Source organism: Homo sapiens, chromosome 7, assembly GCF_000001405.40.
Source record: "Homo sapiens chromosome 7, GRCh38.p14 Primary Assembly".
NCBI lineage: Eukaryota > Metazoa > Chordata > Mammalia > Primates > Hominidae > Homo > Homo sapiens.
In genome coordinates this window covers 107,385,142-107,397,642 of record NC_000007.14, presented here as the reverse complement: position 1 = coordinate 107,397,642, position 12,501 = coordinate 107,385,142, and the positions used below count along the sequence as shown (strand labels likewise).

General features: G+C 40.3%; 1 protein-coding gene across 10 annotated transcripts in view, besides 1 other annotated feature; it reads left to right on the top strand.

The window, feature by feature from the left end:
* COG5 (component of oligomeric golgi complex 5) overlaps window positions 1-12,501 on the top strand; it is a 362,549-nt gene that overhangs the window by 166,278 nt on the left and 183,770 nt on the right. The window lies entirely within an intron of this gene.
* Window positions 6,263-6,785: an enhancer, noted in NCBI's record as "NANOG hESC enhancer chr7:107031303-107031825 (GRCh37/hg19 assembly coordinates)". NCBI's record gives its function as "activates a minimal SCP1, AML or CMV promoter by ChIP-STARR-seq in primed H9 embryonic stem cells {active_cell/tissue: H9 hESC(primed)}" and the evidence as "EXISTENCE:reporter gene assay evidence [ECO:0000049][PMID:30033119]".

Here is a 12,501-nt window from a genome sequence, read left to right as displayed (position 1 = left end):
TTCACTGTCATTACCACTTTATAGAGTAATGAGTTGATACAGTAGTCACCACCAAAGGTAGCAGATGAGATGTGATTTTATTCTTTTGTTTTTCATCTGTTAAAAATTATTGTTATGGGCCCATGTATTTTTTTATATATTGTCTTTCAATCAATGATGGTGCTGGATGAGGCTGTATGAACTGTTAACAGCAAGCTAGATTAATAGTGGCTTACACCAACAGATTTGACTGGGTGTAGGTGGTGCTAACATTGTTTCAACTATTCAACAAGGATTCAGGCCTTTCTTTTTTCCATTCCATCATCCTTAGTGTGCTTTTGCTTGTCCCATCATGGTCACAAGATAGCTGTCATGCCGGTAGCCATTATGTCTGTGTTCAAGGTACAGAGGTGGGGCAGAGCCAGTTGTGAGTCAAAAGGTGTTGTTATAATATCCTTCCCCAAATTGCCTAAGCCAACATGTCCTTATGTCTCACTGGCCAGATTTGAGTCACATGCCCAGCCTAGCTATCAAGAAGACTGTGAAAACAAGTGTCTGGCAAAGAGGAACAGAATTGTCAACATCGGCTCAGGCTACTTATCAGCCATTGCCTGAGAAAATTAGGTTTTTATCAAGAAAAAAGAAGAAAGTAGTTTTGGGCAATAGCTAATACATAATGCTTGCCATAAATATCTTTGGTAAAGCACAGAATGACTTTACATTTTATTATATTTAAAAATAAGCTATGTTTTTATGGCTTGCCACATTAATTTGTCATTATTCCATTTTCCTATAAAATTCATTTTATTGTTGAATAAACATTTTCAATAGTTTCCTTTTAATATTAATTACTATTATCTAATATGACTTGGAATATGTTATTCTGTGTATTGACATTATTTAAAAACTTTAATGCCAAACTATGACTTGTTAGAATGTCTTCTTCAGATATTTTGTTAAAAATTGAGAAATTAAAATAGCTCTTCTTCTCCATATTGATCATTTTTATACTCTCTTCCTCATTTTTTTAGGCACTCGGTGTATCACTTTCTGTAGAACTTTCCTCTTCTAATCCATGTTCATCTTCATTCTACCTCTTGTCATTTTTCTCTCATTTCCCACCCCCCACTCCTCACCCCCCTGGCCTTTCTATATAATCTTTTTCTTTTTCTGCCTCTCTTCAAAATAAAGGCTAGAATAAAGTTGATTTCTGGTGTATGAGATCATATTGTACTATTAAATTTCCTTTTTAGTATCTTAATTTTATTTGTATTATGTACTGTTGACTGTTGATTGTTAACAGGTACTGAAATAATTATATTAGGTTAGCTGAGAAGTACACATCAAGCATTAATGGGTTGCATGTTACTGAATCAGCAAAGCTACTGCTAAGCTCTGAATCACAACTAAGGTAGCTAATATAATTCTTGCTTTTAAATTATGGTATTTAATGTGATTCTCTTTTCCTTTAATTCTTGTAATCTCCCATGGAGCTCCATTAAGTTTTCAGTCTTCTAGACATGTGTTATCTCCAGAAAAAGTGTTACGTGTGTGTAACATAATGGAGCATATGCACACAGATATTATAAGCTGCCTTAAATATTTTGTCCTGTTATATAGTTGTCACATGTATGGTGTTATGGATTTATTAAGTGTTCTTCATAAATATTAGGATTTTATAATTTCTCAATGATTGTACATGATTAAGGTACTGTTCTTTTTATTGTCTTAAGTTTACCTGAAAATCGGCCTAATTTTATTAAATACATATTCTACCCAGGGGGAGTGGTTTAAAGAATTATCTGCTTTGTCTGGGCGCAGTGGCTCACGCCTGTAATCCTAGCACTTTGGGAGGCCAAGGTGGGTGGATCACCTGAGGTTGGGAGTTCAAGACCAGCCTGATCAACATAGAAAAACCCTATCTCTACTAAAAATACAAAGATTAGCCAGGCGTGGTGGCACATGCCTGTAATCCCAGCTACTTGGGAGGCTGAGGCAGGAGAATTGCTTGAACCTAGGAGGCGGAGGTTGCAGTAAGCCGAGGTCTTGCCACTGTACTCCAGCCTGGGCAACAAGAGTAAAATTCCTTCTCAAAAAAAAAAAAAAAAAAAAAAAAAAAAAAGATCTGCTTCATGGTAAAGACGATTTGATTTGTACCCTTTACACACTATTTAAAAAAGCTGTATCGCTTTTTAGTAGTTAGGATTGTCTATACAGTGAAAGATAGCTACTTTGAATTTTTGCTTGAGTTGACTTTGCATCTTTCTGACTATAACCTCTGTCTTTGGGAAAACACAGTGAGTTGGGAATGTGTTGATCATTTCTTTCTTTCTTTCTACTTCCCACCACCCTTTACTTCTCCCTCCCTATCTTCATTCTCCCTCTCTTTCTCCCCACTTTTCTTTCCACCCCACCCTTTCCCCGTCTTTTTAATGTGATTCTGGGGTTTCTTATTTTTCATTTTGAGTGTGAAATGGTGCACTTATTAAACTTTGAAGAAATATTTTAGTTTTGAAACATCCATGCTAATAAATTATTTTGGAAGTAAAATTTTTAAATCTCTGTGTGGTTTTCCAGTTAAAATCAGTTGGACTCAACTAAGTCTTTATCATAAGTCAGAGTTTTGTGAACTGAGTCACTTTGCAGAATTTCATGACTATAACAGCAGAGCAACATGAGCTAAATTTGTATTCTGTATTTGTCCTTTTCCTTCCCTCAATTTGTTGCCCTTCTTTTATAGACGAAACACTTAAAAAAGAATTTAACTTCTAAAGAATATTTTATTAGAGGAAAAAGTAAAATGTGATTGTTAGTCCTCATGATACAAGGATTTCCTTTCAGAGTTTCAATGTTAATGGTATTATCCACTGTGGGCCCCTGGACTTGCATATTTATGTCATTTTTTGCATTTTATTTCTCATCAAATTCTGTCACTTTTTATTTCTAATTTCAATTATATAAAGTTTTAAAAATCCTGTCACACTTGATTTAATGCTGTATTTATGCTCACAAAGGTTATCTCATATTAGCCTATGGCTTTGTAAACTAAAATATTGCTTGCTATTTCATGAAACAATCTTTATAGCAGTCTTGCTACATCTCTGTTCCATTAGCTATGCCAGCAGTTGCTTTGGTTACAGTGTTCCTGTTTTGGCAAGCTTGGGTATCTTAAACAATTATGCTTCTTTTCTATTTTTGTGGAATTTTATTTTCCTCCCATGTAATGCTACAGAGAGGTTGAGAAAGAAAGAAAAAAATCACATCATAATTATTTCTAAAGCAGGGGAAATATTTTGGTTTTGTAAAGAAAACGATTGTGCCATATTCTGAAATGCTTTTGAGGATGAGGAAGTCTTTTTTTTTTTTTTAAGTATCTTTTTCACTTAAAAAATATCTTTTCTGGCCAGGCATGGTGGCTCACGCCTGTAATCACAGCATTTTGGGAGGCCGAGGCAGGCGGATCACAAGGTCAGGAGATCGACACCATGCTGGCTAACACAGTGAAACCCTGTCTCTACTAAAAATACAAAAAAAATTAGCTGGGCGTGGTGGCGGGTGCCTGTAGTCCCAGCTACGTGGGAGGCTGAGGCAGGAGAATGGCGTGAACCTGGGAGGTGGAGCTTGCAGTGAGCTGAGATTGTGCCACTGCACTCCAGCCTGGGCAACAGAGCAAGACTCCATCTCAAAAAAAAAAATAATAATAAATATCTTTTCTACCCTGTTACATGGTCTTTTATCAAATTTTATATTATAATCTATGAGGTTAGGAAATTTCATAGAAGATTGATTTGTTGAAACTTACAGTGACAATTCATAGAAAAGTTATTCTTAGAATATTGATTATCCAAAGAGAAGACATTGGCTAGAAGATAGCGCAACTTTTGCAGTATAATTTATCTTTTTCTAGCGTAGTATTTTAAAAATGGTTTTGGTCTGTTTGAGATCTTTTACAATTGCCAGAGAACATATCTCAGCTGCAAAATGGGTACATCTGGAGATCGTGTAAAGTCATGGGTTGACAGGATGACCTGTTGGAGGGAGTACAGAATGGGAGTGAAAGACCCAAGACCTGAGCCTGGCCTGCCACCAAGCAGCTGTGGGCCCACCCCCTTGGTAGCTTAGTTTCCTTAACTATAAAGTTAGCATTATGCTACTTATCATGCCTATCTTGTGATGACAAAATAAAATCAGTAGGTCTAAAGGCCTTTTTAATAGCTGGAAGCAATATTTACTCATAAGGTGTTATTGATCACGGGGAGAAAGTGTCTTCTTGGAGTATACTGTTTTCTACAGATCGTGATGGGGTATTGCAGTGAATGCAGACCACCTAGGGGCACAGAGTACCAAGAATGGGAGTGGTTTTGTAAAGAGGGAGTTTGGTAGGGGATGTAAGGAAACAGTAGAATTCCTAGAGCTGATCCTGGAACATTGAAAAAATAGGTAGACAAAGCAGGCAGTTCCAAGATGAGCAGTGAATTGAAGTACTCACTTTGTATTTGTCAATATTTCTTATGCAGTGAGAAAGAGGACTTCATTAGGGACAATTTATGATTTTATTGACCTAAACTGTAATAAAATTGTAATTTGTAGCAGAGTATGGGGAGTCTGGTATGCGAGGCAAGAAGTTGATTAACTGTTCTCTGCTTGCTTAAAACCATCAAGCTCCCCAGAGAACACAGTGACCTGGAATACTAAGAAATAAGAATTTTTTCCATGGACAGTTTTTATGGAGACTTTAAAGTTGAGGAATACATGTGGTATGCAGGCGCCTTTTAGAAGGTTTGAGCTAACGTGTGTATTTGTACAGAAAAATAACATAAGTAATGGTTTCCAAACAGTGACCTGCAGATTGGTGGCAATCATGCCAAGGTTTCATCAGTCCCCTCTACAATTAAAAAAAGGACATGGTAGTGACTTTTTCATAAAGCAGTGTTAATGCTACTGAAAAACAGCTCTAATTCTGATTTTTATCCTTTTTTTTTTTTTTGGTATTTCAATATTCTTTCCCTCATGAATTAGTGATAGTAGATAGTAAGTTGTTTTTTAATATTCTTAGTGAAACAGAAAACTCATTGGTCATTCTACTTCCTTTTAAGCTTTATTTTACCAATTTTTCTAAAAAATAGGCCTTTCTTTAATTGGTATTAATGGTTACTTGCAAATAAGCATTGTTATTTGGAAAAAACATCAACTTTAAAATCAGACTTGAAGCCCTACTCTGCCGTCTATTCCTTGTCTCTTAACTTCTCTATACTTCAGTTTCCCTGTCTTTAGGAAATGATAGCAACTATGTTGAACATTTTTTTGGGGAAAAGTAGACATCATATATGTAAAACACCTAACATAATGCCTGGTTCATAATAGGAGCTCACTAGATGATTGCAGCAGAGAAACTATTGTTATAAGACCATAATTTTCATCATTAGTAAATTGGGTTTTCTGTCCTTGGAATAAGGATCATACCCTTTTATACTCTGTGCAAGGAACACCTGGGCATTAGAGAACCAGGTAAACCTCTGGAGGAAAGTGATCAACGTGGTATTGCTGAGGAAAATAATGGTTTTTTAGGGGCGGGGACTGAGTCTCGCTGTGCTGCCCAGGCTGGAGTGCAGTGGCGCAATCTCAGCTCACTGCAACCTCCACCTCCCAGGTTCAAGCATTTCTCCTGCCTCAGCCTCCCAAGTAGCTGGGACTACAGGTGGCCGCCACCATGCCCAGCTAATTTTTGTATTTTTTGGTAGAGACGGGGTTTCACCATGTTGGCCAGGGTGGTCTCGAACTCCTGACCTTGTGATCTGCCCTCCTTGGCCTCCCAAAGTGCTACGATTACAGGCTTGAGCCACACGCACCTGACCAATAAGGTTTATTAATTTGACTTTCAGGGATGATGTAAATAGTGGTTCTCAAACTTTGGTGTGTATATGTCACTTGGGATGCTGCCTTGAAAAAATGCAGATTCCTCCCACATGCAAAGGAATGAAATTATTCCCTTACCTTGCACCATATACAAATATTAACTCAAAATGGATTAAAGACCTAAAGGTAAGACTTGAAACTATACAACTTTTAGAAGAAAACATAGGGGGAAGTGTCATGACATTGGATTTGGCAGTGATTTCTTAGATATGACACCAAAAGCACAGGTAACAAAAGCAAAAATAGACAAATGGGACTACATCAAACTTGTAAACGTTTGCACAGCAAAGGAAATATTCAATAGAGTGAAAAGGCAACCAATAGAACAGGCTGAAATATTTGCAAACCATTTATCTGATAAGAGGTTAATATCTAAAATACACAAAGGATGCTTAGAACTCTGCAGGGGTCCCTCCCGCAGACCCTGACCCAACGACAGATAAATAATGTACACTGACACAGATATTATGCTTTTCAGTCTGCTGAGGGTCCAGGCAGCTTACAGACTCCCAGGAGAGTGCCATAAACAGTTGCAACTGGGGCTGTACTCGCTGGCCTTCCGGGCATTTATTCAGCACACGTTAAATGACAAAAGTTTCAAGTAAACATCACGGGAAGGTAATCACCGTTGCCGACCCTCCCCCCTCCTCCCACCAAGTAGAGAGCAATCATGCATCCGTGGATGGTCAAAGGTTAGTCTTAGGACCACATGAGTAAACAAGCTTTTTAGATAGACCCCTTTACATTCCTATGTTAATTACCTTGCTATAGCTCAAAGAGGATTAGGGTGCCTTCAGCCATAACTTTATCCTGAGGCTTTTGCAAAAACCTTCTGGCCTTCCAAGAAGGTTTATTTGACAATTTTTCCCACCATCCTGACTGAAACCCTACATCTCCCCCTTTTCTGTATCAAGCCTTATTGATTGGAGAGCGCAGATATATGCAGGAACAGATTTGTCAGGTGTGGCGATCGTTGCTCTTATTCTGGCTTTGCATCCTAGATAAGACAATCATGAGTATAATTAGTAACATTCTTTTCCAGTCAAAGAGTGACCCCCAGGAGCGGGGGTCTAACCAGGAGATGATCTTGCATACCCTTCCATATGGCTGTTTGTTGGCTATGTAGATCTATAGTGTGAACAGATTCTAAAATTTTAGTTTTAAGTTGCTTTACATCTGCTGTTAAATTGTCATGAAAGGTTCCCCAGAGGTGTTGTTTCACCTCATCCCAACTGTGGATTGATTGATTCCATGGTAGAGAAGTGACACAGATTATGTTTATGCTACTAGTTTCAGTTTAATTGCTATCAGAATGTTAGTGCATCTTGTTGCTCCCCCACATATTCCAAAGCAGCCTCGAGGGCTTGCAGACGTGCAAGAATTTTTTTATCTATACCTTGCCGTAAGAGAGGTTCATTAGACACATTTTTGGCCAGATTACCTACAAAAGCAGCTGTTTGTACTGATTCAGTAATAGATGCCACAGCAAGGCAAGCAGTTGCCGGGATGATTATGGCTGAGACTATAAAGGCCATAAGCGTAACTCTGAATCTTTGGTGTCTGACAGGCACATTCTAAGGTGGCAAGGGCAGAGGAATCTTGCCAATCACGTGTCAAATTGACTGGTAGGAATGCCTCAGATTGTCTCCTTAATACCATGGCACTAGTAATATTTCGAACAGATATATTGTAATATATTGTAATTAGTGATACATGAGTTGAACCAAGCCTGTTCTTGCACCCGGGTCACAAACGTGGAGTATTGGGGTGAAATAGAAATATTGGTTCCCTTAAGGAAAACATATGGATGGATAGTGCAAATTAGGCACTGATGAGTGTGATTGTGAATAAAGGTTATAGTATAGTCATTACTGGAATTATGATATGTCGCATGCCAGGTGTTAAGGGAGGTGCCAAGATGTCCCAGGTGTCATAAAGTGTCTTGGGGGTGGCATGGACTTTACTTGGGGTCTGAGATATCCCATCCCCCCATCGGCCCAAATCATAGGGGAATGGGACGTGGCAATGAAATGCTGATTGAGTCATGACAGGTGAGGACATTAGTAAGGCTGCCCTGCAAATGGCCGTGGGGGCTCCAGTCTAAGATGTTATAGTTGCCTCACTGGAGGCCACGGGCTTGTCCCCTGTGACAGACCTCCCAGCTAAAGTGAAATCCGTTACTTTCCCAGCTTTGTCCTTTAGCACAGGAAGGAATGTTTGGGAAAGCGGCATTGATTGTATTACCTGGTTTGAGGCCACCTGCAGCTAAAGCTGTTAAGGCATTTTCTTTGCCATGATTTAGCCATAATTGTGCTTGGGCAGAGATACACAGTAAGGGTTAAAACCTTTATAATTTACATACAGTGGGAGAATAGTGGAGTTATATGTAGTGTTATCTGGCACCTTAGTCCAATATGTGCCATTATTGAGGGACCCCACTGGGGGTAAATCTATCCCTCCTAGCCAAGCAGTCACGTTATTATAGGCTATCTGGCACCTTAGTCCAATGTGTGCCATTATTGAGGGACCCCACTGGGGGTAAATCTATCCCTCCTAGCCAAGCAGTCACGTTATTATAGGCTGGGAAGCGGGTGTCTGCCCAGGTGACAGGGCGAAAGAAAGGCGGATCTAAGATATGAGCCCAATAGAGTGTAGCAGGTACAGGTTGCAGACAAAGTGAGAGCATATAAAGGATCAATACCCTATGTGAGTTGCAATGTACAACAGAAAGCATAGCTAGGAACAAATTATTTGGAGTAAATGGTGTCTGTGTCTGGAGTAGAATTCGTTTCAGCCTTCTGAGTTATCCTCTTCAGCATCAGGTGACATTTGAGGCTTGTGTCGTCTGTGGAAGCCGCATTGTTCAGGGCTGCGGGTCCTGTAGGGTCAGTTCCTTCATCTCTGGTACCAGGTTGGGTCCTAGGCACGCCATGGTGTGGTTTGATGCGCCATGCTGGAACACAAAGAGGACCTAAGGGGGTGTGAACACAAGCATGTCCTCTTCCCCGCATTAGTAATTCACTTGGACCACACCGTACATTACTGTTCACATCTTTCCATGAAACTGCAGGTTTTATACCTTGAGAGGTTTTAGAAAAGTGCTTTTCTACAGCTGATTGAAATTTGTCATCTAAATTTAAAAACTTAAGGGTAAATAAGGCTTGTGCCAATAGTGTTGCAGGGTCTTTACCCATACTCTCCCTTTTCTGTTTTCTGAGCATATTTTTAAGGGTGGAGTGGGCACATTTTACTATGGCATGTTCTTGGGAGTTATATGGGATGCCTGTGGAATGTTCGATGTGCCATGAGTGACAAATTGTTGAAATTGTGAGCTGGCATAAGCTGGACCATTATCAGTTTTAATTTTTTGGGCCACCCCATAAACGCAAAAGTTAAAAGATGTTTAATGACATACCGGGTTGATTCTCTAGGCAAAGCATGGGCACTAATTAAGTGAGAATTGGTATCAATGGATATACGTACATATCTAAGTTTTCCAAATTCAGGGTTGTGTGGAACGTCTGTTTGCCATAACTGATTAGGTTCTAATTCTCTAGGGTTAACACGTGTGGAGATTGCCTGTGAGCTGGCAATCTGGGCATTGTAGGATAATTTGTTTAGCCAGTTTCTGGGTAAGTTGAAATTGTTTAGATAAGTTTCTCCAATTTTGGTGGAAAAATTGATGTGATTGGGTGGCTTGGTCAAGCAGTGATGTCATAACCTGAAGGTCTGCTTGATTATTACCATAAGCCAATGGGCCAGGCAGAGAGCCATGGGCTGGAATGTGTGTGATAAAAATAGGTTGTGTATGTTGATCTAGCAATTGCTGAAGTCGAAGAAAAAGAGCACACAGGGTGGGCTCAAGAATGTACCTAATTAAGGCTGTTTCAAGGTTCTGCAATAAATAAACAGAGTAAGCTGAGTCACTCACGATATTTATGGGCTGAGTGGAAAAAGTTTCCAAGGCCAGTATCAGAGCCCCGATCTCAGCTCTCTGAGTGCTAGTAAACCCAGATCGAGTGATTGAGTTATGTGGTCTCCACCAGACTGCTGCTTTTCCATGTTTATCATCCGGTTTTTAACTGCTCCTTAACTAACTCATGGGCTCTTTGTTAATTTCCCTTCAGAGGTTACTGTTTACTTAAACTGGATTTGGAGAGAGTCACATTAGGGGTAAGAGAGAGAACAGTGGCCATCATCAGAAATAGGTCTATCAAATTCTTAAATTTTACTTAAATTTTAGCAGCAAATTATAATCTGAGATGTTGCTTGTATACAAGGAACACACGAAATTTTGCCCTGGGCTTCCTGCGGAGCTGGAGAGCTGAGCAGGTGGGCCCCAGGGTGGCAGCCACTTTGCACTTGCTTAGGCGCTGCTGCTTTTCTGCTGCTGGCTGGGTGGACCTTCCCGTTTGCACCTCCTGCCCCTCCCCAGCAGGCCAGCTCTGGCGTGCCTGGCCTGGCTTCCTGTTGCTGCCTCTGCTGTCCAGGCTGAGTTCCCAGGAGCATTTGCTGGCTCTGGGTTTGTGAGCTTACCCGCTGCAGAGCCTTTCTTTTAATTTACCATCTGCTTGACCATGGGGCTCTGGCCTCTAATGCTTTATCTTTTTATAAGTGTTAAAAGAAATACTCGATTGCCTTGTCAATCTTGCATTACTGGGCAAGCTAAGAACTCCCCTTCTAATGCCACTTGCTTAAGACAGGGTCTTGTAGCTGCAGCGTTATCTCTTGTCTTTTTACCTATTTATTGGAGGAGGGGGTTCAGGCAAAACCTCCATTTCCTCTTTGTTATTTTGGCCCGGTGATAGTGGGGCTGAGGGAAAAGGAGGTGGTAAGGCAGGTGACTTTCCTCCTCCTTCCCCTTTTTAGGCTCTCTGTTGTATAACGAAGCCAGGGCTGCCTTAATTAAAGCCCACAGCATTAAAGATGATGCTGGGACCTGTTGCCCTTGTGCATAATGTTGTTTCAGATTTCTCCCTACTTGTTCCCAGAGCTTTATGTCTAGCATGCCTTTTTCCAGGAACCTTGGGCTTTGGGTTACAACAGTTTGCATCAGGTCCCTTAATTGTGCCTGTGAAACCGAGGTTCCACTAGCTTCAAGCAGCTGTTTAAATACTTTTATATACTGTTTCTGTTGAGCTGATAACTGTTGTCCCATCATGAACCCTCAGCCTGAACAATCCCCCCCAAACTTGGAGATCCCGAGTGGGCACCAATGACTTACTGATTACTCACTGACTGCGCGGTGCTTTTCACTTCTTTTCGGCGGTCCGTCGTGCTTCCTCCGCAGCGTTCCTCACACGGGGCACCAGCTGCGGGGGTCTGTCTGGCAGACCCTGACCCAACGACAGATAAATAACGTCCACTGACACAGATGTTATGCTTGTCAGTCCAGCTGAGGGTCCAGGCCGCTTACAGACTCTCAGGAGAGTGCCATAAACAGTTGCAACCCCGGCCCCGACTCCTTGACAACCACCCCCACCCCCGCCCAGTAGAGAGCAATCATATACCTGCGGATGGTCTAAGTTTAGTCTTTAAAGAAGCTATTTAGATAGACTCCTCTATATTCCTATGTTAATTACCCTTGCTATAGCTCAAAGAGGATTAGACTACCTTCAACTGTAACTCTATCCTGAGGCTTTTGTAAAAACCTTCTGGACTTCCAAGAAGGTTTATTTTACAGTTTTTCCCACCATCCTGACTCAACCCTAACAGAACTCAACCACACACACACACACACACACACACACACACACACAAAACCTGGTTTAAAGCTGGGCAAAAGACTTAAATAGATATTTCTCCAAAGAAGATATACAGATGGCCAGCAATCATGTGAAAAGATGCTTACTGTCATTAATCGTAAGGGAAATGCAAATTAAAACCACAATGGGATATTACCTCCACCCATTAAGGTGTCCATCAAAAAAAAAAAAAAAAAAGAAAATAACAAGCGTTGGCAAGGATGTTGAGAAATTGGAATCTTTCTGCACTGTTGTTGATAACTCTATACTCATTAAATAACTCCCCATTGCCCTCTTCTCCTAACCTCTGGAAACCTCCATTTTACTTTGTGTCTTTATGAATCTGACCACTACAGGTACCTCATGTTAAGTGGAATCATACATTATTTGTCTTTTTTTGACTGGCTTATTTCACTTAGCAAAATGTCCTCAAGGTTTATCCGTGTTGTAATGTACATCAGAATTCCCTGCCTTTTAAAGGCTGAATAATATTTAATTGTGTATATATGCTATATTTTGTTTATCCATTCATCCATCAATGGACACTTGGTTTGCAAACATATGTATTGTTTTCTGTTACCCTTATGTATTGGTTTCCTGGGGCTGTCATTAAAAATTTACACAAGGGTAAAAAAGAATTTAAGAAGAAAAAATTGCCACAACTGGGGTGGCTTAAAACAATAGAAACGTATTTTCTCACAGTTCTGGAAGCTGGGAGTCAAATCAAGGTGTTGGCAGAACACCTTGAACTCTTGAAGAATTCTTAGCCTCTTGTGAGGTTCTGGTGGTTCCCATCAATCTCAATCCTGGGTATTCCTTGCTTTGTAATTGTATCATTCCAGTCTCTGCCTCTGTTGTCACA